At 35.7% G+C, this 27,683-nt stretch overlaps 1 protein-coding gene and 1 long non-coding RNA gene across 4 annotated transcripts in view; one reads left to right on the forward strand and one right to left on the reverse strand.

Annotated features, from left to right (window-relative positions):
• GABRB2 (gamma-aminobutyric acid type A receptor subunit beta2) overlaps positions 1–27,683 on the reverse strand; it is a 259,969-nt gene that overhangs the window by 91,383 nt on the left and 140,903 nt on the right. The window lies entirely within an intron of this gene.
• On the forward strand, positions 1,282–27,606 carry LOC105377694 (uncharacterized). The gene is made up of 4 exons (XR_001742957.2): positions 1,282–1,362; positions 7,353–7,429; positions 21,207–21,265; positions 27,083–27,606. It is a non-coding gene; the product is annotated as an uncharacterized LOC105377694 (long non-coding RNA).

Below are 27,683 nucleotides of genomic sequence, written 5' to 3' on the forward strand. Positions count from 1 at the left end.
AACATTTGAAGCCACTGTCAGTTACCAGTGCCACAGTGTGAAAGGGCTGACTGCACTCTTTCTGGAGAGAAAATGTGGTAAAATATGGAGGAAAATCCTGAAGAAGAAAAGGGACAAGATGCAAAAAGAGGGGCAAAGAACACAATTAACTACAGCAATAAACTGAGGGTCCTGCCAACTTTACAGAGTTTACCTCATTCAATTCCCTTATAAAAAACTTATCTATGTGTCCCTAATTTTTCTTTTTTATTGCTTGGGCCCCTAATTCTATAGAATCTAATTCATTAAGCTTGAAATATGGCCCAGAAGTCTACATTTTAAGCAAATATCTCAGGTATTGATATAAGAATTATAAAGACTACACATTAATAGACAAATAGATTTTGAAAAAGAACCTATTGTTTTTGGAATCAGGTATGCCTTATCTCACAACTCCATAATACTACAATTTCCTTCTATAAAATTTTACCTCTTTAGGAATTTAATTTACTACTGAGGGTGTGAATTGTCACCTAGGCCCTGGAAAGCAACTTTATTATTTTATGAAAAGCCAGATCACTTTCACTGTAGCCTACAAAAATTATGGACTTTACAATTTTCTTTCTCTTTCTTAATGAAATGCTCAAATCTCTATTTAAAACCCAATTGTAGTAACTTTGCACCCAATTGCATTTGCAGGTAACAACTACTGCCTTGAGGCATTGAGAGTTGAGCTGCATTCTGACAGTTGAGGGGAATGAGCTTCCTGGGCAGAGTTTCAGGAGCATTGCTAAGTTGCTAACTTTTCTGTTTAGAACATGCAATGCTCTTGTGAAAAAAAAAAATCTGACGTTTTAAAATTGAAGAGCTGAGAGTTTCCAGAGCTGAGTTCAATCAAGTCTTAAGTAATGCAGAAAATTTGAAAACCATAAATGCTGCAAAGACAAGGGTGAGCACACACTTACATGGAGCCAGAATGAAAGACTGTATAGTGAGGTGGAAATAAAATGGTTGTGTATTGGTACACCACAATCTTGAGGTCAGTTTTTCTCAAGATTTTACAAGGGTAAAAAAAAAAGGGCTTTACTGAATGTGGGGTGAGTAGGAGGGGTTTAAAGGAAAGGTATAAAAATGTCATGGGATTTAAAACAAACAGATCTTTATGTGACTTCATAGACCCTATCATGGAGCTTCAGAACAAAAAACATGCAGAGACACAGAGGCTTGTCCACAAATGACAGAATTAAGAGACCTCTCAATCTTCCCTGTACATATACTTATTTCTCTTTTAATCTTTTTCAGTAGAGAAAACATGAGCTTTGGAATCACACAGTACTGGGTTCAAGTTCTAGCATTTGCATGTACCAGCTTGAGTGACCATGGGTAAGTCACTTCAACTTTTTGAGCCTGAGTTTCTACATCTGTAAAATGAAGATCATAATATCTACTGTTGGGACTACTGTTAATGTGTAACACACTGAGTATAACTCCTTAGATATATCAGATATTCAGTGAATGGAATCCATCACTCTCAGCAGCACTACCATCACATCCTTATAATGACAGCAGTATCATTATAAGAATTTATTTAGAATGATGAAAAGTATATGAAGTCAACTTGTGCCCTCCTTGGCACATAAGGCAAGAGAAAGACTCAGGGTGGGGAATTAAGGGTGAAAAGAGAGTCTGCAGGTGATTTGTATAGATAATTCATTTATTACATGTAGAGATGTACTCTGACATGGTTGATGCATTGAGACAACATCCTAGAAGAGGAGATGGGCTTTATTCTGAAGGGGGTGAGTGGATATTCAGGGTACACTTTACAAAAGGAAAAATGTCTCTGCCACTTGGAGGCAGGTCAGGAGCTAAGTAGGGTGACACTGTCCATGGATCTCCATGCTGAAGATGAAATAATAAAGTATACTGAAGAGGTTACGAGCATGAGCTTTGGAGTGGGCAAACTCAGATTCAAATCCAGTCTCTGCTATCTTTTAGCTTTGCAGTTTATAACAAAAGACAAACACTTCTGAGCTGTTTCCTCATCTACTAAATAATGATAGATATTTCATACATCTGGTGTGCAGATCAGATAAAATGATATTTATATACACAGTACAGTATGGGATATGCAGTATAATTTCAACACATATAACCCATTAATATTATGAACCAGTTACATTATCTGGTTGCATGTTCAGCATCCTGTTCATTTCCATTTTGATGTAATTACACCTTTAGTGAAGTGCTCTTGAAACAGTCAATCTAATCTCAGCCTTGCTGTGCAAATGAAGAAAATATCTGGTTTTTGTCCATACTTGGTCCAATACATTGAAGGCAAAGAAGGAAAGAAGGGGGAAGAACAGGGAGAAGAACCTCTAAGTGGCAGAGGAAAGCAAATGTCAGGGCTATGTGGTTCAGTTCCCTCCAGTCCCAGGAAGTGCGCTATCCTCTACAGCCAACTGGAAAGTCTGGAGAGCATGTCGTTATGGACTAAGAAAGTATTTCATCAGAAACTTTCCCAAAGTTACTGAGATACTCATCAGACTGAGGGGGTACAGAATTGAAGCTTCTCCCTGTTTCCTAGTGCAGAACAAATCCATTTATCCTCAGATGCTTTCACGGATCATAGCTTGAACTTCTACAGTCCTTTATCTGGATCAGCCTTTAATCACATAAGCGAATGATACCATATCAATAACACTTCTGTTAAAAAAAAAGACTGCTTATTCCAAGCCCTTTTCTTAGCTCACTGGGTAAATAACATTAGGATATCTCCCTGATTCCCTGTGTCTTGCTTTATATTTTACCCTGGGCCTTCCTCCTTCCCAACCATACTCATTGTCCCATGACTTGGCTCCTAAGGACCTAAAATCTAGTCACTGGTTTAGAATATTCTGGCTTATGTGACTTGTTATGTGTCTGTCCCTTACACATTATTGGAATGGCAGCATATGGCTCAATTCTAAAGCACTATTCATGCTCACCCTGCAATCTAGTCCTATAGGCCTATTCTTCACTTTGACAGATCAAGCTTCCATTTTCCTCTCGAGCAACTCCGTGGCTACTCAGAGCTGTCATGAGGTCCCCTGAGCCGATCTCTTGGCAACCTCCTCTGAGGAGAGGCTGCCAAAAATCCAAAGAGCCTCTGCTCATCCTGCAAAGCGAGACTTGGATGGACATCAATAAATAGGGCTTTAAAGGCTTAATTTTTCTCCTCTACCTTTGTCTACTCAATGTTTTGTTTTCCCTTTTTTCTTAATTTTAAAATACGTAATTGACAAGTAAAGATTGCATATATTCAAGCTGTACAACATAATGAGTTGATATAGGAATACAATGGTTAATAATTATCATAATCAAATTAATTAACACATCCATCACTAACCATGCTGTACATTAGGTCCCCAAAACTTTTCCATCTCATACCTGAATGTTTGTACCCTTTGATCAACATGTCTTCATTTCCTTCGCTCTCCAGGCCTGGGAATCACCATTCTACTCTCTGTTTTTATGAGTTCAACTTTTTATGATTCTACATATTAATGCAATCATGTGGCATTTGTCTTTCTTTTTTTTTCAATTTTTCTAAATTTTTATTATGGATGATTCCAAACATATAATCAAGAAAATAACTTACATAAGTCATGTTCTCATTACCCAGCTTGAAGTATTATCACTTCATGCCAATTACATTTATCTGTTTCTGTGCTGTTAGTACAGTAGCCCTTCACCACTTATTAATTGATTAAAATTAAATACTATCAAAAATTCAGTTCCTTGACTGCACTAGCCATATCTCAAGTGCTCAATAGCCACATGTGGTGAGTGACTACCATTTTGGATAGTGAAGCTCTACAAAACAGTTGAACATTTCCATCACTGCGGAACAATTTATTAGATAGTGCTAATCTACATCCAACCCTCTTCCCCCACCATAGATTATTTTGAACCAAATCCCAGGCAATATCATGTCATCTAAACTTAACACTAAGAAATTAGCAATACTTGCTGAATGACGCTGAACATGTAGTTGACAAGGTTACAAGCAAAAATTGCTTAAAGTATGTATGTATAGATAGATATATGCATAAAATGTATATATGTGTGTGTATATACACATATATACGCGCAAGCTGGAGTGCAGTGGTGCGATCTCGGCTCATTGCAACCTCCACCTCCTGAGTTCAAGTGATTCTCCCGCCTTGGCCTCCCAAAGTGCTGGGATTACAGGCATGAGCCACTACAACTGGGCCATATAGACGATTTCTAAGGTCCATTGTGTATATACCCACACATATATGCATTTTATGGGAAGATGATTTATGGTGGTTCTCAATTTCTGATAAAGGTCATCTTCTCCAAATTCAATAATTACTCCTTTAAAAAGATATGTGGTCAATTAATAATTCAAAAGATGAGACACTTTAATTGCAAAGGCCACTGCAAAACTACCTTTATAAATATGGAATAAGGAATTTATTCACAGAGATAAACGTCTTGTATATATCTTATCTCTTTAACTTGTTAGAATGTAGATGAGTGCCTGGATTTTTCATCTGTTATATGGTGGTGTGTAATTGAGGAGGGGGTGGAGTGAGGTGAGACATGCTTATCAGTTTGTCTTTGTATTGATTAGGTTAAGACAGAAAAGTGGAGATTGCCTCAGGCTTCTTTCACGGTAACAGTGTTCAACTTCATTCCTTTATCCAGCCATTCAGCCATTCATTCATCCGACACCTGCTTACTAATAGCTCCAGCTATGTGCCAGGAGTATAAGTTCTTGGTTTTAATAAGGATAAGAGATGGTCTCAGCTTTTGGTGAAACTTCACCAGAAATGCAAATTTGGCTCTTGGGACAGTTAGTATTACTGAGGATAATTGTGTCAAAGCCCAGAGACAACATAAGAGAGTTTTCTTAATTTAACAACAAATGTGAGTATTTATCCAATACTTACTCTAAGGCAGGGCTTGTACTAGGTGAACCCAACAGATGAAATGCTTTCCTTATATAGGTATATGCTCCCTTTCTATCCTGCCTACATCCCCATTCTTAGAGTTGGGGGAAGAATTGCCTCTGGATGTATGGTAGAAATGATGTAAGAATGAGAAGATGGGATTATATAGTTACATACATATGCTGTGACTGCTTTTCTTTCATCCTCTGCCATCCTCTCAAAATAGAAGTTTGCCTATTCCCCTTTAAATATGCTTTTCCAAGACCACAGCCCAGGCACCCATGAAGTCGACTACAGAAGAAGCAATCCCCAGCTGCAGCTGGAATCTCCCGCATTGAGCATCCCTGACCTCTTCCAGAAAGTGCCGGGTCTCTGATTTCCTCTGCTCTCTTTTAAACTAAGAGGCTCCATCACAAGAGCTGGGATGAATATTCCTTCCACTCCAGATGCAAATATCTGCCAAGTGTATCTGCATCTCTACATACTCTGCACATATTCCCCACTGAATTCTAGCACATCAATCATTTTTGAAGTGTTTACTGCAAAATCTCTCATAAACATTTCACCGTGAAACTTTTTGCAGCAAATTTCTCTCTCCTTGTTCCTTTCTCATCTGTGGTAATATGTAGAAGCTCTCTCATTTGAAAAATTCTTTTGGAACAAACAGAAACAGTCTTGGTAACCGATGCTTGAAACTGTCATTTCATAGTATCCTTAGTACTTCAAGATTTTTTTCTTTGTGGGTGGAGACAAAAGACTCTGGGTAGAGAAATGGGAGCTAGAGAAATTGCCCTTAGCTTGTTAGCATTTTGTGGTTTAAGAATCACTATATTCATAAAATCTGAAAACAAAATTATTTTATGAAGTCAACAAATATTAGTTGATCATATAGCCTGTGCCATGCCCTGCGTTAACTACTAGGTATAAAATATTGGGTGACACAAACATGATCCCTGCTGTAGTGGTGCTTATACTTGAATGAGTACCAGAGTAAATACATAAGCTTAGTCTTTCAATGATGTATTCCAGTAAAACCGCAGGAGAATTAGTAAGAAAGCAGGTAAGTCTAAAGAGACTGTGTGTGGAAGACAGATTATAAGAAAAAAGTGAGATAAGTCAAGTAAAACATCTAAAACATTTAGGATAGTGCTTGGCACATAGTTAACTTTTAGTAACTGTTACCTATTGTCTGGTGTGTGTGTGTGTGTGTGTGTGTGTGTGTGTGTGTGTGTGTGTGTGTGTTACTTGAGAATTCCCAATTCGAATTATTTCTTTTCTACTGTTCTCCCTTTATGTCCAAGTTATTCAGCTAAATTGACCACTAGACAGTTTCCACAGATTTGTAATTTGATGCAATGGACCCAGTCATCATTTTCACCCATTTGAGGTTTGTATTTATCCTAAGTGGCCCTCATGGATTTATTTAAACCAGCAATATCTGCCAACATTTTAAATAGTGACATGATTTCTCCCATAAAATCTCCTAGCCTAAATGACCCTTATTGTGATTTAATGGCACAAGAACCACTTCAATAATTTTCGATGTCATTCAATTATCTCCACAGTAAAGACAGTCCAGAAGCTAAAAAATGAAATTAGCTTGGTGCCCTGATATGCTATAAATGTAGACTGCGAACTCCCCATATTCCTTTAGGAGCATACAGACCTTATTCCTCATACATTCCAGGAAGCTGAGTGATATTTAGAATGCTGTCAAATAACTTAAGGAGATCAACTTGTTATGGAAATATTGAGTTATACCAATATATTTGAAAAATATAAAATTTCATACTTTTTAAAATTTTTTTGAGACAAGGTCTCACTCTGTCGCCCTAGCTGGAATGCAGTGCCTTTACTTCTGCCTCCCAGGCTCAAGTGATTAACTGATTCTACCCATCCTCGCCCCAGTGCTCCCTTATGTGGGACTACAGGCGTGCTACCATGCCCAGCTAATTTTTGTATTTTTGGTGGAGGTGGGGTTTCACCATGTTGCCCAGGCTGGTCTCCAATCCCTGAGCTCAAACCTCCCAAAGTGCTGGTATTGCAGGCATGAGCCACTGTGCCCAGCCAAAAAAAAAAAAAAATTATTATTGTTTAGTAGCAAAACATCATAAGAGAAACACAAAACCTAGAAGTCAGAAGGCAAGAAGACTAGCTGACTTGACCGCGTAAAAATGTATAGTGTACTTGGGATGGAGGAGGAGGTACAGAAGAGTGTGCATAGAATATAGTTCTAAAGGGCACATAATCTATTAACACTGGCTACCTCTGGGGAACGGGGGGGAGGAATGATAAAGAAAATTTATATTTTAGTTTTTATATTTATATATCATGATCAAATAGAAATGCAATATTTTGTAATTACAATAAATGTAATTATTTTCTAATAATGTCTATTTTCTAATCCTGTGGCAGGTGTGCTGTGCTCCCTAGGTCTGAAGGCCTTGTGAATGACTGACTTCACCCTTCTGCACACTGATCTTCCTAACAATGTAAGTTAAATATGTTGGAATTGTTGGTATAATGTGGGGCTTCCTGTGTCCTGGCAGGCTCTCACCCAAGACAAGCAAAATACCAATATCACGAAACATCCCTATGGAACCGAGAGGCTGTGCTCACTGAAGCATTCTGCAGCCTGGTATCCTCTAGTCTTCTCTGCTGAGAATATATCCTTTGAGGTTATCACAGTAACCTGAAGCTTCTTGAAGGTTTATGTGTGATATTTTAGCTTTTTGTCAAACCTAGCCCTCTGGGTTTTACAGAATCAAAGAGCATGTCCATTAAAATCACTGGTGCAAATGTAAAGAGTGTCAGGTATATATGCCACACAGAATCCATCTACTACCTAGTAACTGCTCATACTTTTCTGTTTTTATGCTGAAATGGGTAATAAATCCCATGTAATAGATCTGAGAGACCCCATCTTTCATGTCAAACTGTTTTCTTTAGGGAAGAACTATATAGCTAAAACTTAATACTTAAAGGCAGAAACTCTAAAATCAAATGCAGTGTTATATTTAAAAACTTAGCTTAAATAAATAGTTAAACTATAATAGACTAGCACGTCTAGAAATTTTTTAAATGGCATGAGTTTTGAAAATTAACCAAACTTAATTAAATCTGGGGATATAGTAATATACAAACCCTAACAGTTTTAAGGATTTAATTTCAAAACTAAACCTTATAAAACTGGCTCACAAAGCCAACAGCAAGTTTTGAAAGACAAAGTAAAAAAAAATGTAGGTTGGTCACAATACCGACAATAAAACTATTATTTGGGATCATAAACTAAGAACATGTATCTTTCAATTCCAAGTTGCTCTTAGTTCACTTGAAGTAAATTTGCTGACTATAATTCCAACAATCCATGGGAAGATTTGAGAGTAGAAAATGCTGTTTCAATACATATTCCTCTAAAGTGACTTTATGGGGTGCAAAAAGTATCTATGGATGTCACATACATGAGTTGCTGTCTCCTTAATTCCAACTTGTAAAAACATTTCTGAAAGATTCAGCAGAAAAGATACTCAAAACAGCATTCATCAAAGCTGTCAATAGAAGAAGGCTTTAAAAATTAATCTGTTAGTATATTAAAAATAGCCATTTAAAGATGTATTCTTCCACAAATTTATTACTTATAGCCTATCGAAATTTTTCAAACTGAGAGGTATAAATTGCTTTTGATGCTAGCTTTTTATTATGCACATCACATATTGCTGGAACAAGTGTTGTCTTATAAAGATACACACATTCTTGACTAATTTTAACCTAGAAGATGGATAATATGTATTAGCATTAATAATCTAATAATTCTTAATGCCTTTTATAATTAAAGAATAATTTAAGAATTAATCATTTAAGAATAATGATATAAGAAATAATAATTCTTAATGCACTTAATAATTCTTATACCATACAACATCTTCCATAAAATTAGATGCTTTAGGGCTTTGTGTCTTTTTTTAGCTTTTTACTACCAATAAGTAGTATAATGTTTACTACATCACCAAATCTTTAGCCTTCCTCATATTCTAATTTGTCTTCAACAGCAACATGTTGCTTAATTACTCTATTTCAGAGTACAATAGTTAGGCTTTATTTTTGGTAAAAATGGAATAAAATCACATACAATATCCATATAATGTGCCATAAGCCTTGAATAATTCTTTTTTATAATGAAATGTTAAAAATAAATATAATTAGAAAGCTTTATTTAACCAATACCTAACTCATTTATTTTCCAGAATCACAGACTATCAAGTAAAAAGAGACTTATAACCCATATGTTCTAGCCCTGATTCTGTCATTAACCAGATCAGTGACCTTGAAAATATTGATTACTTACCTATAAAATTGGATTGTTAAACTAGACAATGTGTAGTTTTCAATTCAGTGAACTTTCTTATAGCAACAGAGAGTGGGAACAATTCTAGAATTTGATGCATCCAAGTTGAGGCTTAAACCATTAGAAGCTATAGTTTTAACAGTTTGTAATCATCCAGATGGTTCAGTTTAGTAGGTGTACCTGATTTGATCTTAGCTTGTTTACCCCGTGGAAACTAGATAATTAAGCTTCTAATACATATTCCCCAAATTATTTCTTCTACTGACTCATGTTAACAGTGAAAAACACTGGACTTTGACTAATATCATCTTGGTACTGAAGCATAAGCAATTTCAACAATTAAGGAGGTTTGTTTTAAAAGTATGATCCTTAATATATCTCATATTCATTAAACCTGCAGATAGATTGATAGATATATAAAAACATATAAAATGTGTATGTGGCCTGTGGGCTCTTGTGTATGTTTGTGGAGTGTGTGTGTGTGTGTGTGTGTGTGTGTAAAGAGAGACAGAAACAGAGAGAAAGAGAAATGAGAAAAAGAGAAGAAAATGAGGGATTAAGGAATTGTTTGGGAGTATGTGTTTAGCAGTGCTGAGGAAATCTTTTTTCTAAAAAGTTTTCACCAATATAATATCAGTATCTTTAATAACTCAAAAACCTCTAGGATACATCTCAAAGGTAATATTTTACATGGGTTTCTCTCAGAGGAGGAACAAATTACCCCAAACCTGAAGTTTTATTTCTTAATGAGTAAACAGGATGGCTTTTGGAGTCAGAAATTATGAGCTGTGCAACTGGGAACTTACCTAAATTTTTCATGAGTTTAAATTTCCTAAATTATAAAATAAAGATAATAATAATGATAGTATTAACAAAAACAGTAATACCTATTTCATAGGGCTGTTTGACAATAACAGTAGGCAATGTATAATTAGGCAACATATATTACTTGGTGTTAGTTTTCTTTCAAGAAAGTGTGAAATCAATTTGCATATGACAAACTTACAACCCATATGTAAACTAATAGATAATTAGGCCAGTTTAATCATGTTGACCTTTACGTGGCCAAATGTAAATATCTCAGTGTAGCCCTGCTACTCCCTTGCACTCAAGTCATCTCTGCTGAATTTTGTGTACTTTCTTAAATAAGTAAATTAAATATTTGGGCAAACCAGTCTAATGATGAGAAAATACCAGACAGAATGAAATTGAATGACATTCTAAAGAATACTTTCCATTTCATGACCTTGCACTTTGGAATAGTACTGGCTCTTCCAAAGAGCAAAAATTTCTCAGAAAGACTGAGAAATTCACATGCCAGAGGATACTAACTAGGCATGATAACTAAATGCAACACCCTAGGTTGGATTCATGAACAGAAAAAGACTGGATTCCATTAGTGGAAAACCTGTTGATATCTGAATAAAGACTAGTCTAGTTAATAAGATTTTATCAATGTTAATTTCCTAGTTTTGATGACTGCCCCATGGTCATGTAAAATATTAACATTAGGCGAAGTTGGGTGAAGAGCATGAAGGAATCTCTGTACTATATTTGCAACCTTTCTGTAAACCTCAAGTTATTTCAAAATTTTAAAAAATTTAAAAAAATAGGTGAAATCTGAGAGCTAACACTTCTTATAAGTCCTCTGGCCTTTGTTACTAGTCTCCATGTCCTTTCTCCCAAATCTTTGCATCTAGTCTCATCCCACAACGTAAGGCTTTCAGCACCATCTCAAACTCGCCTATGTTCTTGCTTCTAAACCAGTAAGCCAAGTAAAACGGTTAAACATATTATATCTACACTTAACCATGTGCATCTTCTTAGGTTTCAAATAAGTGGCAAAAATAGAAAATTTACGGTTCAGGGACTGTCAGTGTTGTTGGACAGAACTCATTCCAGTTAAGTTCTAAGAACACAACATCTTTTATTACTCTAATAAATTAACCAGCAATGACAGTTTTGTGGCAATTAGGTTATATAAACTTTTTCCCATAAAGACACATCATTAGGTTATATTTTTAAACCTCCATATGTCACCCAAACTTAGGCAGAAAGAAACATGCAATGCAATCTTTATGACAGATTTTCTTAAATTCCCCAGTTTTCCCATTTCTCCTGACATTTTGTTGAAATTTTAATACTCTACACTTTGGCATTTGACAGGTTTGCTTCAACTAGCTTTGTTAAGCAGGAGCATATGTTTTAAAATGGCAAACTATGTCCCCCTCTTTTTTTATGTGAGAACTGTGGGTCAATTTAACGAGACAGGTTTTTAAACAATCTGTGATATCAAAGAAGGGTTAGTAGGCTATGCTCTTTGCAAAGCAACTTTAGCTTTTAACTTATTTAATCACTGAGATATTCTCCTGGGTGGTGGGAGCAAGGGAGAGTTGGATGTGAAATATTTCACAGTGGAATAAGGCTTTGTTCTATTTGAAATACAAATTCTGAATTCTCTTATGGATTAGAAAACATAACATCATCGCCAAAAAAAGATCATGTAATATTAGCATTAGGAATCATGCCCAGAGAGAAAATGGGGACAACAAATTAAGAAATGTCTTTATCTTTCTTTCTATATGCAAAATGTAAGTAAACATGTTTCATTATTTCTCCAATTAAAACGATAATAGGTACTGACCCACAGAAGTTGGTTGCAGATACCAACAAGATGTAATGGAAAATTTTGCTTTTCTAGAATGTAAAAGGCAAGAAATGAAAACAGACCACCAAACCAGGAGACTCAGCATTCACTGATCTAAGAAGGGACTGACTCTAAGAAGGGACTGACTGCTATTATGTTCCCACACCAGGGAGCATTTCCTAGCCCTGTAACCTATGCTAAGCCTTCTGCTGTCTGTGCAGCACCTCAAGACTACAGCAGAAAAATTGACAGCAGGATTGGTGACAGATTTTGTGTGTGCAAAATTAAAATGTGGGGTCCCTTGCTCATAAATTATTAGGAATTTCAGTACCATGACAGCAGAGTATTAATGTGAGGCCCTTCTCATCATGGCCCCTGTGTTCCAGGCCCCTTCTCATCATGGCCTCTGTGTTCCAGGCCTCATGCCCATGGAGCCAACGCTGCTAAAATCTAATTCTAAGGGAAGACAGAGCTGTGCTCAAAGCTCATTTCTGTTAGGCACAAAATGTTTATCTAGGACCTTGACAGAAGTACTGTGTAATAGTATTTATGATTATCCTTGCCTCTTCTTCATATGGAAATGATCAAATAGCTAAGTAAACAAGAATAATAATATTTTGAGCTAAAGAATACCTAGTAACTTTTTGGTATAACGCCTCCATTCTTTGAAAAACTTAATTGAAATCTGGTACTTATCAATGGCTCAGACTCAGGTATCATGACCCCAAATCAATGCTCCTTCAGTAACAAAATGGTGCAAGAGAGGTTGTTAACAGCTCAGGCTTTGGGAGCAAACAGCCTGGGACCAAATTCGGACTCCACCACTCTGTGTAACCTTGGGCATGTTGTTTAACTTCTCTGTGTTTCACTTTCCAAATCTGGAAATGTCATTACTGATAGTACTTTACAGGATTAAATTAACTACTTCATATAAGCAATTCAAAACACTGACTGGCACATAGAAAGTGTTTAAGAGATGTTAGCTATTCATAGTTCATGCTTCATTTACAGAAACAGCTGTTTTTGAATATCTATAGATAATCATTTTGATTAGTAGGTGAAATGAAAGCTAAATTAGAGGGTTAAGTAAATCTACAGCTAGTTGAGTAAATTCATAAAAAAATTATTAATGGGTTGACATTTATGTGACAGAGTGCATTATTCTTGTATATTATTCAAACTTTTTATTAACAATTCAGATAAAAGGTATGTAATATAGTTATAAAATGTGTTAACAGTACAATTCTGGGAGAAAATTCTTCTAACCGGGATGCAGAAATGACTGCCAGAAGGACCAAATAAACAAGATTAAATTTCTTACACAGATCTTTTTTTTAAAAAATAAAAAAATAAAAACATGAAAGGTATCTGGTTGAAAATTTGACTGAAAGCTCCATTTGAAATCACAGGATACCTGATTTCCCAGAAATAAGTATAACAATCAAGTTGCATTAATAGTGTATACAGTGAAGGAAAGGGTAATGGGGCCAAAAGGAACTGCTAAGGTATAAGATTTCTTTATATTCTCCCTTTTATAACTCTTTAAAAATGTAAAAAAAAAAAAAAAAAAAAAAAAAAAAAAAAAAAAAAAAAAAAAAGCCACACACCCATTTTTAGTGTGTGGGCAGTACAAAAAGGCCACGGGCTGGATTTGGCTTATGACTCATAGTTTGCCAACTATGGTCTTAACATTCTCATCCAACTAAAAAGCAGGAGGAACCGTCAAAGCATACAAAAAGCCAGACTCTACTATGTGAGTCCTGAAAGAACCACTTTAAATATAAAGATACAGATAAAATAAAAATAAACAAAGAGAAAAATATTTATTATGCAAAAAGTATGGATAATGTCAGAAAGGTTATTTTAATATCCTATAAAATGCACTTTGAGACTAAGAATATTACTAGAGATAAAAAAGGACATTTCATTATGATAAATGAGAAAATTCATCAGGAAGACCTAATAATTCTCAGTGTATATGGAACAAATAATGGCCTCAAGATAAATAAAGCAAACATTTGCAGAATCAAAGGAAATATAAATTACAAAAACATAGTAGGAATTTTTATACTTCTCTCAGCATTTGATAGAGCTAGAAAATAAGCTAATATAAACATAGAAAGTATGAACAACCACATTAACCATTTTGATCTAATTGTCACATTTAGAACAGTATTAATAACCTTCAACTGCACAATACACATTTTTAATGCATGATATATTTACTCAAGATGGACAATTCTCCATAAATTTTAAAAGGATAAAAACTATAAAACAAACTACAAAAGTATTGAGTTAAAAATTGTTAAGATTACTATATATAGGAAAACGCCTACTAACTGGAAGTAAAACAATACATTTCCAAATAAATTATAAGACAAAAATGAAATTACTAAACTGATTGGAAAATATTTTAAAAACAGCATGAAAATACATTAAGATTTTGGGAAAGTGAATAAAGCAGAGTATATAAGAGGGAAACGTGTTGCTTTAAGCCTTTATAGTAGAATTCAAGCAAGATTTCAAATCGGTGGCTCAAAGTATCATCTTAAAAAAATCTAGAAAATAATAAGCAAAATAAATACAAAGGAAGTGCAGGAAGAAATAATAAACAGCAGTAATCAATGAAATAAAAACTAGAAAATAGAGAAAACTAACAGAGTCAGAAGATGATTCTTTGAAAATACTAACAAAATTGACAAATATCCAGCAAAACTGATCAATGATAGAGAATACAAATCACCATATTAAGAAAGAAAAGGGATTATTGCCACAGACACTATAGACATTAAAAGGATAATAGGTGAATACTGTGAATAACTTTATGCCAAATTTCAACATCTTAGAATAAATGGAAAAAAATTATTGAGAACTAAAATGTACTAAACTAAATATGACATACGAAGAAACAGAAAGTCTGATCTTTTTAAAGTCCCATATCTGTTAAAGATATTGAATTTGTCAAGAACTTACTCAAAAGAAAACTTCAGGCCCAGATGACTTTAGTTGGAAATCTATCAAACATTCAAAAACGAAGAAAATGCCAAGTTTACAAATTTTCAGAAAATAGAGAAGGAAGATGGATCACTGTCCCCACTCATATTTTGAGGCCAACATAACTCTAATATCAGTCCTAAAAAGGCATTTCCAAAAGAAAAATAAATAGGAGTTACAATCCAATATCCTTCATGATGCAAAAATCTTCAACAAAATAATAGAATATCACATCTAACATCATGTAAAATGACAATCTATAATGGCTGCATAAGATTTATCCTAGGAATGCAAGGTTGAGATAGGTTTATCATTAAAAATTAAATAATATAACCCATCATATTAGCATAATGAAGAAGAAAGGATATGATCATCCACTGAAGGGGCTACTTATCCTTCATCTTTGGTAAGGTTGGGAAGGATGCCAGCTGATAGCTGGAGCCCAATTTCTTTATGAAGGGATGGATATACTTTATATTCTGCGAGTTTCTAGCCTTACAAAACACAATAGTCCCATTTTTCCCCTTCTATCTTTCCATAGTTTGAAGAGCTAGTGATGACCTGAGTTTGAAGGCAAAAAAGAAAGGAGCTCCTTGAAGATAGTAAATGATTAACAAACATGATTGGGAATGGCTATTCCTTATTCATCCAACTATTCATCTATCCATTCATTATTCAACAAATAGTTCTGAGATTTACAATGCTTCGCCCTCAGCACTTTGGGCATAATGATTAAGAAAATAATCATCGTACTCACCTAATGGAGCTGACAGTTAGGAAAAAAAGGCAGACATTTATTATGAAATAACACATATAAGTATCGCAATTGTGCAAACTCCTGTGAAGAAATGTTACAGGTACTTTGAGAGAGGGAAATTAAGAAAGGCTTTGCTAAGAAATGAAATCTGATTTTAGATTTGAAGGTGTGTAGGAGTTAGCTAAGCAAAAAAGGGAAGAAAATATACTGTAGGCAAAGAGAAGAGTGAGTAAAAAAATCCTTGAGGCTATTCAAGAAAATTTTTTTCTGGTACAATGACTTCCCTCTCTGGATCTTAGAGAATGATTGGGCTGAAGAGCCAAGACTGCCCACTCCAGCCCTTATACCTTCTACCTTGCTGTCATCAAAAGGTAATTCTCTCCAACTCAATGTGATTTGCAAGAATATAATAAGTACTTGATCTTTGGAGAATTTGTGATTAAGATTTTAAGTGGAAGGTCCAGGAAATAATGTCAAGGAGAAGTTTCTATTTTCTGATCTTCTCTTCCTGCATTCTATAACCAAAGAAAAAAGAGAAAAACTTACTTTCTTTGAGTGGAAATTTTAAATGATTGTCTTCTATGTGGCATATTGTGCTTCAGAAATTGTTCCGATACTTTGGGCTCTTATAGCTGCACACAATGGTTAACCAAAAAGCTTAAAATACCAGAAACGAGGCCTAGAAAAATAACAGCTCCATCAGGAAGTGGAAAGCCACACTGAGCCCAAGTAAACCCCATCCATTCCTTCCAGGGAGGAGTTAGATCACAGACTGCTTAGCCTTTACTATGTTAGAGTACTGTGATTAGAGGGACTGAAGATTTCTCCTGGCTTCAGGACTGTCATTCAACTCCTATTTGGCAATGGAGAATTGGGCAGATCATTTGTCTTTTTCTTTCTGGAAAAATGGATACAGCATTCTCCTCATCTCTGGTTTCCCAGAAGAGAGAGGTTGTTAAAACGAGAATAACAAACCCACTTTTGTTAATAATGAATCCCTTCTGTGGCTCTTGAAAGAGTCTTTTTACATACTTTCTCTGAATTCTTTCCACGGTTTTCCAAGCCTAGTAAAGTATCAGTAAGTATATGTTAAATTGATTATCAGCTACAGGATGCCTGTTTTTTGAGCCTGTACTGTTCTTATTAAATAAATGAGAGAGTATCACCAGCATAGTTGAATTATCAAACTCTGTGTTTGTGGTAGTCATTTCATAATGTATTTATATATCAAAATATCACATTGTACACAGTAAATATACTCAATTTTATTTGTCAATTATACCTTAATAAAGTTATAAAAAATAGCTTAACACATTACCAGATTGTAATTAGACTTTCAGGAGTAAATTAATTCCAATCTCAACACTTCCAAATGTAACTTTGAAATTCTTTAAGCCCCAGTCTCCTTATCTGTAAAACAGGAATGACATTATACCTGTCCAAGGGGCTGCCATGAAGATTAAATGAGATGATAAATGTAAAGAGCTTACCTAGAATGTGTAGCACAAAATGACATTCTGAATAGTAGCTATTGCTCATCTTACATTGAAGATATTTCTTCAAAACTTAAAAGAGCCTTTTGTTAAACCTTAAGGTACATTTTATCAATGTATCTTCACAATCAAAAAATTTTATCCTGTTAGCATGACCTTCACTTAAAGCACTAACAAGAAAACAGTGGAATTAGAAAGACACAGTCAAGTAACTTTTCTACATCTGTAAGAAATCTATAATTCTTTCTGTCTTCTGCTCACATTATTAAAGTGATTTTGATACAATTATAATTCAAAGCAGCCACAATGTTACAACTCAAGGCCGGCTCATCTGTAATAGATGTTTCCCATTTCTGTCCACCAACCTTTACCATTTGGCAGTACATTTAATTAAATTTATACTCAATAGTACTTTATGTAAGTGTTTTAAGTATAAGCAAAATTCCTCAATAAATAACCATAATAAATATTTATTTCTAAAGGTCGCAAAAAGTGGCATGTGAAATCAATTTATATAACAATGAGAGTGGCTTTGTGTCTTAATTAAAAATACATCTTTTTAAAGAAGTCCTGTTTATCAGAAACAAATTTAAGAAACAAAGTGAGGAGCAGTAATTTAAAATATTCTTGACCGATTTATGGATATTATGCTGACAATGTATAAACACTTCTCTTAATAACAAGGACTGAAAGGGACAGAAGAATCACTTCCTATATTAAAACAGTTTAACACCTTAACGACCAGTTCTGACAGTGCTCGTATGACTTAAGCATCATTTTTTCTCAGTATATTTTAAATGTAGTTGTAGCTTGTTGTTATGCTGATTGAGAGCATGACACCTGAGGATAGACTGTCTGGGACTGAATCCTGACTTCACATCTTATTAGCTGTGTGACCCTTACTTAATCTCTTTGTGCCTCATTTTATTCTCATAGGGTAGATACACCACAATGAGAAAATGAACATAAGGCATTTAGTACACAGTAAGTGTTCAATAATTGATAGACAGAGGTAGATAGATGATAGATAGATAGATAGATAGATAGACAGATAGATAGATAGATAGACAGAGACAGATAAATAAATGTGACCACAGGATAATTTGCACAAAGTACCGAATATATTTGTTTAAGTAGCCAGAAATCACTTATCAAATGATTTGTGGCCAGGGTTATACATTCCAGCAGAGGGTCATATATATTAGGGGATTCCTAATTTCACTATTTTGTATTTTCTCTTGAGAGGACCTATATCTGGAGTAAACTTTAGTGAAATTAGTTAAATTGATAAATTTCCTGACTGGCTGTCATACACAAAGCAGTAGACAAGATAAAAGATAACACAGGACATAATCCTTCCTTCAATAAGCATAGTAGTCAAAGCACTTAGCTGCAAACAACAAAACTGACTTTGGCTAAATTAAACTGATAATGAACAGATCATAGAAGGCAGAGGACCCACTGTGGAAACTATGCAGTCAGCAACAATGCCCAAATGTACAGGGCAGAAATGGTCCTGTGAAGTTACCAGTGCTGCCTCCACTGAGCATCAATTTCCACCGCAGATACCATCAGCATGTGCCACTAAACACACTAAACACTGCTTGCCATCCACTGCCACAGCAGCCATCCTTAGGCTGGACTTTTCCATAGACACTGTTTTTTTGTTTGTTTGTCTGTTTTTTTTGTTGTTGTTGTTTTTGTTTTGTTTTGTTTTGAGACAGAGTCTCGCTCTGTTGCCAGGCTGAAGTTCAGTGGCGCGATCTCAGCTCACTGCAACCTCTGCCACCCCGGTTCAAGCGATTCTCCTGCCTCAGCCTCCTGAGTTGCTGGGACTACAGGCGCGTGCCACCATGTCCAGCTAATTTTTGTATTTTTAGTAGAGACTGGGTTTCACTACGTTGGCCAGGATGGTATCGATCTCTTCACTGTTTTATTTTTTGCCACCAATTTCCAACTCAAAGTTAAGTGATTAGCAGTGCCTTGGTTTTGCACCTGCCTTCTAGTTATAAGGGTGACTGAGAAGATGATTCTCTGACTTTTTAAACTTCTTTTATGGAGGTGGGTTCTGTCTCATAAAGTAAGGAATTCTACAAATATAGTGTTTGGGTATGGGCCAAGCAAAGAAATGTCCACTGAAAGCGTACACTTCAGTAGGTAGCATTTGATGAAGTTATCATGCAAAGAGGAATGTGTTAATCATATGTTAGATAAATAAACAAGGAAACAATATGTACACTGATTGAAGACATAGGTTCTAAAATCAGAATGACCTCAGTTTAAATCCCAGCTTAGCCACTCTGCTTGATACTGGGTCCTGAATTACCACAAACTACACTTTCCAGGCTCACGTTTTTCTATGGTTCTAAACGTGATCCAGACTCCGCCAGTCAGATGTACTTACGGGGGACTTGAATTCAGGACTGGGTTGAATGGAGAGAGAAGTATGGCACAGAACATCCGTTGTGCTAATACAGACTACATGAGAAGCACTGTGGTTTCCATCTAGCAGCTAGAGCAGTGACTACTTTATTAAGCAGGTGCTCCCAATATACCAGCAGGACTAGTGGCTGCCTTGGCAATACATGACTGGGCTGTAATTTTGAGAGTCATCTCTAAAAGCACAGCCTCACCTCTCTTTCTTCAATCCAGTCAATAATTCCTTAGCCCATATAATCCCCTTCTGTTGAAGCTAGTTTTATTGGATTCAATTTTCTTCAACTAAACCTTAATCAATACATTCACTTGCTAACATGGGTGGCCTTAAGTAAGTTATACAACTTCTCCAAGACCCCATGTCCTCATCTGTAAAGAGGAAATAATATATGTAGCTGCCATATATTACTATAAGAGGGTTGGGTGAGATCTTGTTTGTAAGTACACAGCACAAGATCTGGCACAAAGTAAGCATTAAATACAGGGTAGTTACTACTGATGGTGATGGCGATAATGTAATTTTCATGGAGCTGGCGGCAGTGGAGGTGTGAGCAGGGGTAGATGGTAGATTCTGGAGGCTATCATGAAGAAAGAGGTACTCGATTTGCAAAAACTAGCACGCATTATTGAAAATCTATGGAAAGAAAAATATCTTCAAGCAATAACACAGGAAGCCAAGTCTAGAATCTGAGAAAAGTCAGTCTGTGTTGCAGTTCAATGGGCTGCAACTATCAAACAAAAACAACAGGAGGTTTCTGGAAATGCTTCAGGGAAGGTGTGTGGGTGTATTTACGCCTCTGGCTTATGATGTTCACATCAGGTTTCACAAAGTGCTCTCCAGCATTCACTAAAAATGATAAGAAATCTGCAAATGTGGCATTTTCACCTAATTAGGATCAAGTATGAAATGAAGCCCAGCCAAGAAGGGAGCTTTTGCAGGATGACGGCATTGCTGGTACCTTTCCTGAGCCTAAAAGTAAACTAAGTAAACACGTTTGCATTCCCACCACCCTCCCGCTACAAAATTTGCCCACAGAGAGATTTATAATATGTTGTGAAGTCCTAAACTGCCTTTTTTAGATCTAATGGGCAATTTGAAGGCAGGGGGAAAATTAGCATTAGAAACTTAAAAGAAGGTGTCCATCTTCTTCAGAAAGGTAAATAGACACAATGTCGGTTTTTGAGTAGAGCCTTATCAAACTCTCAGTGTCCTGAGAGACATAGGAAATCATTTAGGCGTTAAGAAAATGCTTCACTTTTGAGAACCCGTAATGGGAATCAGTATCCTTGTAACTGCTCCTGGCTGTTCTTTGAGTTGAAAGCTGAGCCTTGTGCCAACATATTCCTAAGCTTGACAGCTGTGCTTACCACCTGGTCAAAGGGGTGAGTTGTTCTCAGGCTCTGGGCTCATTTAGTTACAAGTCAGCTTGTTACACGTGAGGGATTGGAAGCCAGTGGATTCAACTTACCCAGGTTTTACATAGAATTCATATTGATTTTTTTCAATGTTACAGGGTAAAAATGTAATAGGGGGTGTAGGGGGTGATGTCTACTGCTAAAAGACTTCCCCTCAATCTCTCTGTATCTAAAATTCTAGGTTCCAAAAGGTGTCTACTGATTCACGGGAAAGTCTTGACCACTGCCAGGATGATACAGGTAGTCTACCCACACTCTGCCCTCTAGGCCAGCAGTTATTATGGTATACACATGCCCTTCATTAACTGTTTCACTTTGCACACTGTATCAGAAACAGTCTAACAGTGTCTTGAGGGAATGAACCCAGAAGGTGGGTTTTCACTTGTGAGAGTGGGAGATAGTAATTTGATAACGTTATGTATTATGTTTCTTTCTGGTTTTTCCACTTAGAAATAATAAAATAATAATTTGCAAATACAAAAATAACTATATTTCAATTCTAAATGTACTTGGGGTCCCCTTTACATTTTATCATACAAACAGGAATGCGTAGAATATTATCTACCAAGAGATGAATACATTCAGGGCAGGATTTCATTATTCTTATTAATGTAATAGTGAAACTTACAACCGATAGTATTTAAGGGTAGAAAATAGTTATTTGCCATAGTGATACCTTATAAAATAGATACCCTGCACTGCTATAAGATCTGTTCAAGGCTTACCTTGTACAATAATTGTAATGCCTCAAGTATTAAATTATATCTGCCTTTAACCCATTAATTTTACATTAGAAAAATGCTGCCCATGTAACATTTAAGTCGCATCAAATGTCATGAATGTAAACCAAGTCTAAAGAAATGATACTATAAAACATTCATGCTGGAAGTTTAAGTAGAAAATTTCCTATGGCACAATATCCAACTGTATATTCTCTATGACGTGCAAACTGAGTATTTCAATTACACATTCTCTATGATGTGAAAATTCAACTTCTATGCATTCATCTTATATATTAGTGTATTCAGCAGACTTTTCTGAGATGATGGAAATGTTCTATTTGTCTCTCCTGTCCAGTACGGCAGCCACTTGTTACATGTGGCTATTGAGCACATGAAAATATGCCTCCTGTAAATGGGGCATTAAATTTTTAGTTTTACTTAAGTTTAATTAATTTACATTTAATTTTACATACCATATAGAATAGCATAGTTATATATATTATATAAAAATTTGTTTATATACAAATATATATACATTCATACATATAAAATCATGGTTGTATTTAATGATACAGCCTCAATCATATACAAATTATAACACTTAAAATAGAAACACGATAGAAATAATTTATGTTCTAAAATAGGCAACTGGTTACAGAAATTATGGTTCATTTAAATGTAGATACTAGGGAGGAACTGCAAATTATATTCTAAAGAATATTTCAGAAAATAAGATATATGTGATAATACTCTTAAATTTTTTAAATGAGGTTAAATATTGCATATGCAGTTAAATATTCATATGTGTATTTAAAAAGGTGAGTTCCAGTTTATGACAGCATATTTACCTTTCCCGCCCTACTCCAGTCTCACAGGAATAACTCTAAAAGGAAGGAATAGTAATAAATCCATACTAGCATTACAAAATGGAAAAGAATGCCATCATTCAGCCAAAAATGTTGAAAAATGTAGAAAAGTTAGAATGTAAATGAGGTTACATAGATTCAAAAATTAAAAAGAGAAACATCAACCTAAAAAAGGATTTGGATGAAGCAGGGCTAAGGAGAGAGCCGATCTTCCCACTAAAGTCCAGAGCAGTGACTTTCAAGCTGTGGTCCCTGCACCAGCAGTATCTGTATGGCCTGGGAATTTGTTAGAAATGCACATTCTCAGACCTCACCCAGGTCCACTGTGTTAGAAAGCCTGGAGATGGGGCCCCAGCAATGTGGGTTTTAATAAGCCCTCCAGGAGATTCTCCTGCCCATTCACATGTGAGAATCACGCTCCAGAACACTCATTCCCAATGCTGGCTGTTCATTATAGTCACCTGAAGAACTTCTAAAATTGCTAATTTAAGAGGCCTGTGGTGTGGCCTGATCATTTGAATTTTTTAAAAAATCCCCAGCGATTTTATAATATGCAGCAAGGTTGAGAACGTATGCCCTAGAGAATTTCCAAACTCAGTCAGCAAGTTCAACGTGAGAGTGTGCCCATGGATCTGCCAGACTGGTTCTCTTTCTCTCCTACAACTGGCTGTGGTGATTTAACCCAGGATTACAACGTAAGAAAGCCCCTTAACAAAGTGGGGGCTGCGTAGCTCCTAATTTAGATATTGGACTGAAGAGAATCAGGACAGAGTTTCAGATAGCTCTGGGCATTTCTATAAATAGAGGGGAAAAAATGAATCCCATTTCCTCCTAGGAGTGAGAGTGAAATAATCTGAAGTGCAGGAGGCTCAGATGAAAGTTGTGGTTATCTGTGAAAGGTCCTAGCACACTCTCTTAAAGAGGGAGACTGGTGACATGCCCAGATCTCCTCCTGTACCATCCTCTTCAGCAAAGAGGTTGGCTATGGAAACCATCATGTAAAAGTGCTGAGGAAATGCATATAGGTTTTAAAAACCCATATGAGAGACTTGATCTGGTCAAATTAGTCTTTTATTTACAAACATGAAATGAATTCCAAGATTAGCAGACATCTGAAGAAAATCATCAGCATGAAAAAGGAAAGACCAAGATAAGCCAGCACACATCGTCACAAAAAGAAAGAGAAACACAGCAGAAAACGTGTAAAATAACTTAAATTTTCATGTTTAAAACCAAAAGGATATTCCATGAGAACAAGTGACTATGGAAAATGAGTAACCACATAATAAGAAAGAGTTCTTAGAAACTGAAAACGTGACTGCCAAAACAAAATATTTACCAATAATAATTTATTTAGAATAAAATAAATGTTAGCAATCTGGAAGATAAGAATTGAAAATTTCAGTTCAGATCCATGGCAGATTTATGCAGGAGACCAACAATCTATTTAGTGCAAACCTCAGAGGGAGAAAACAGAGACATTAAAAGAGGACATTAAACAAATATGATTTCTCTTTACTAGGGGAAAGAACACTTTAGATAGAAAGAATTTCCTTGTGTTATTTTTAATATTCAATATTAAGACATATCCTTTATACCCAAGTCACTAGTTTACTTTCTAATATTGGAAAAATTGAAAAAGCAGAGTCTTTGAGTCCAGATACACGTCAAGGTCAGAAATATCCACAGGAAATGTCAGAGGTTCAACATGCACATCCAAGCACTTGTCTATGGTCATGAAGGACCAACTGTTAAACCAAGACCACATTCCAACAAAGTATCTTCACACAGCAAGAATGGAAAATAAATTCCTCACTTCCACAACACTGGACACAATTCAAGAAAATATCAAAATAGGACAGTGATGCAAATTAAATTTGTATGCAGTGACACCATGGAGCATTTGCAGTGTGCTTTGCTTTTTTTTCAATAAATAATTATAACTAAGCCTCACTGTAGTTTTACAGCAGTATTTTTCTAATTTAAAATAACTCAAAGATCACCTAAAATATTTATCAGCTTCATTATGTGACACCTCCACTTTACACCCCCCTTTCACACACACACATAAACAGACACATGCACACATACCTTCTCTTCTGTTGAGCCTTAAGAAGATCAAAATATTCAAGAAGGTTTAGATTATTCAGAAAGACAGAAAAATATTAGAGTTTTAGCCTTTTTCCTCATAGGCACAAGTGTGAGATGTATTCCTATGAGGAAAATCTGAGAGAAGAAAGATTGCTAGCTAAACAACAACAGACCATCAGCAAAACACATACGCTGTTCTACTTTAAATTTTAGCAGGGATGTGATTTTCATCTTTTCCTAAACAGCATTGCTCTCAGAGGTATATGCATATGGGATCTGCATCTTCACATAAACCAGGGCCTGCCTAGTTGTCCTTTAACTCAAGTCCTACATATTTTTGCTTGTGCCAAGTAACCCTTAACCTACAGCTACTTAGAGATCATGTAATCCCATCACTTGCTCAGTGAAATAATTCCTTTATTCCCAGCAAATGGTTTTACAGAATACGGCAGCCCATCTGACTTTTCACCAGCTGTAACTGCTATGAACTTTTCTTTTTTTAACTTTCAGCCAAAAATTGCCTTTTGGCATCTTTTACCATTAGTTAATTTTGTCCTTAGGGTACACAGAGTCTACTCTCTTTCCTTAAGAGGAAATTCTGCATTTATTTGAAAATAGCTATCCTGTTCAACCACTGCCATCCTTCCTAGCCTCAGTGTTCCTTCCTCAGGGTAAATGTTCCGTCCAACACTCCAGTTCCTTCTACTGGCTTTCCAGACTCCATGGTTTATATATCATTCATATTTTGGTTGTTCTGATTGCTACATATCCCTCTTAAAATGTAACTCTAACTGAGCACAGTATTCCAGCAGTAATTTGATAATGATAATGATGATGCTATAATGATAACAGCTGCTACTTATGGAAATATCAGTACCAAGCATTGCACAAAGATCTCTATCTTGATTATCTTATTACCTTTAAGGGTCACAATATTGTACAAATGAGAAACTGCAGCTTGAAGAAGCTAAGTGACCTGTTTAGCTAGCTTGAGGAAACCATAATAGACAAGTCTATCTCTATTCAAACAATACCCTCTTAATACTACACCACTTTTGCAAAGAGCCCCACCTGCTCACTACTTCCTCTGTTACAGATGTTTTGAGACTACTGTTATACTCTAAGGTGCTATCGACGTTTACCTGGGGTGGAGAAACACAATGCACTTTTCATTTTTTTAAGTTATTAAAAATACTGCATTTATGTTTACTGAAATATTAGTGAATCTATAGCATAACCCAATACAAAATATATTAGCTCCTTGTTATAGCAAATTTGGATGTAATACCTCAAATGCTTCAATATATCAATCTATACTGACCCCTTCGACAAGGATGATTTAGAATAAAATTGTTGAATAAAGAAAATACAGCCTTTATTCCATCAATGACCCAACAACATGTTGCCTTTATATAATGTACAAATTGGAATTCAGTAACACAACAGGCACATTTCTATCTTCTGCCTTCCTAAAGCATGGTGCATACGCTAAGAAGAAGAGATGCTTGTACCAAAACACTCTCACACACTCACAAGTACCTTTTGCTATATCAATCAAATAGGCTTTAGATGACCACCAGGGTTGATTGCCTTCCTTGGCCAATTGAAATGTTAATAAAACCATGAAGGGATTATATTTATAAATGGACTGTTCTTTCACTTAATCCAAATCCAGATGTCAAAATGTTTTAAAATACCCATCTTTGGATTTTGAAGCTAGCTATTAATTATTTTCCCTACAAAGTAAAATAAATTAATTTGCATTTTATACTGCAGTAGGCACAGCTGGCTAAAACATTCTATGAGGAAGTAGATAGCACTACAGAAAATGAGACTTACTTGGAATGTCAAAGCAAGGGCCAGAATAAAATCTACGAAGGTTGAGAAGGGTGATGTTGGGCTCTGGGTCTCCTTGGCTAGATTTACTAATCTCATAATTAGTGCAATCCGTGGCAGTATGGGACTTTTAAAATATAACCACCAAAACTGGGATTATTATAGTAATAATAATTATTAATTGCTGAAGTTGCTATTTATTAGATGTCTACCATGGACCAAAGCAATGTGTTAGATTCTTTGTCTAACAGACTTCATGTGAGCTTCATAACAATCTCCTGTGTTAGGTATTATTTCCATTTTACCCCTGAAGAAAGAGGGTCTACTAAGGGAGTGACTTTGCCAGTGTCTCTCAGGTAATCAGTGACTCTGAGAGGCCAGCAACAATTGGTTTCTGATGCTGTCACAAAGGGCAGTGTGTAGGACTTTTTTCTTTTTCTAAATCTTAAAAGGAGATGCCTGACTGTCTGTCTCAGTAAACACTTTGTGTATCCCTGTGAAGGCCTATGAAAGAGCTGCTGATAAAGTTTTATGTCTTCTAGTTCTTTGTAGATCCCACTATGGCTGAGATTGACTGAGAAATCCACAATGTTGAAAACGAGAACACTAAGCTCCTTCTCTGAGACACTGACTCTGGCCAGTCCAACTTACTCAGAGATAAGATGAGACCAAAACACGTAATGAATGAACAAGAAATGATCCTTTGGAATTTTAGTTATTTGAGCAGCTTAGTTTAGAGAATTCCTTCTTCCTTTTCAGACAAGCAGTTCACACGCCCTAAGTGGAAAACCTGGAACCAGAGTGAAGACTAGATAAGGCAGCTTTTCTCCTGAGGGAGGGAGGAGGGGGCATGATGAGGCCATGTAGTTGACATTGGTATTGTGTAGCTGAGCTGGCACAGAATACAGCAGAGTATCCCCCTGACTATTCCTATTTCAAAGATATATAATACTTTCACCACCTCCTTTTCACTATTTTTTATATCTGGATGGGACATATTAAGTGGCCTCACAGTGTAATGAGTTTCAATGTCCTCCTGACAATGTGATTAAAACTTATTTTTTTTTAAAGAGAGAAATCTTTGATTTGTACTAACAGTTCTAAATTATACTTGGCAGCATCAGATTCCTAAAGCATCGGCAC

Source organism: Homo sapiens, chromosome 5, assembly GCF_000001405.40.
Source record: "Homo sapiens chromosome 5, GRCh38.p14 Primary Assembly".
Classification (NCBI taxonomy): Eukaryota; Metazoa; Chordata; class Mammalia; order Primates; family Hominidae; genus Homo; species Homo sapiens.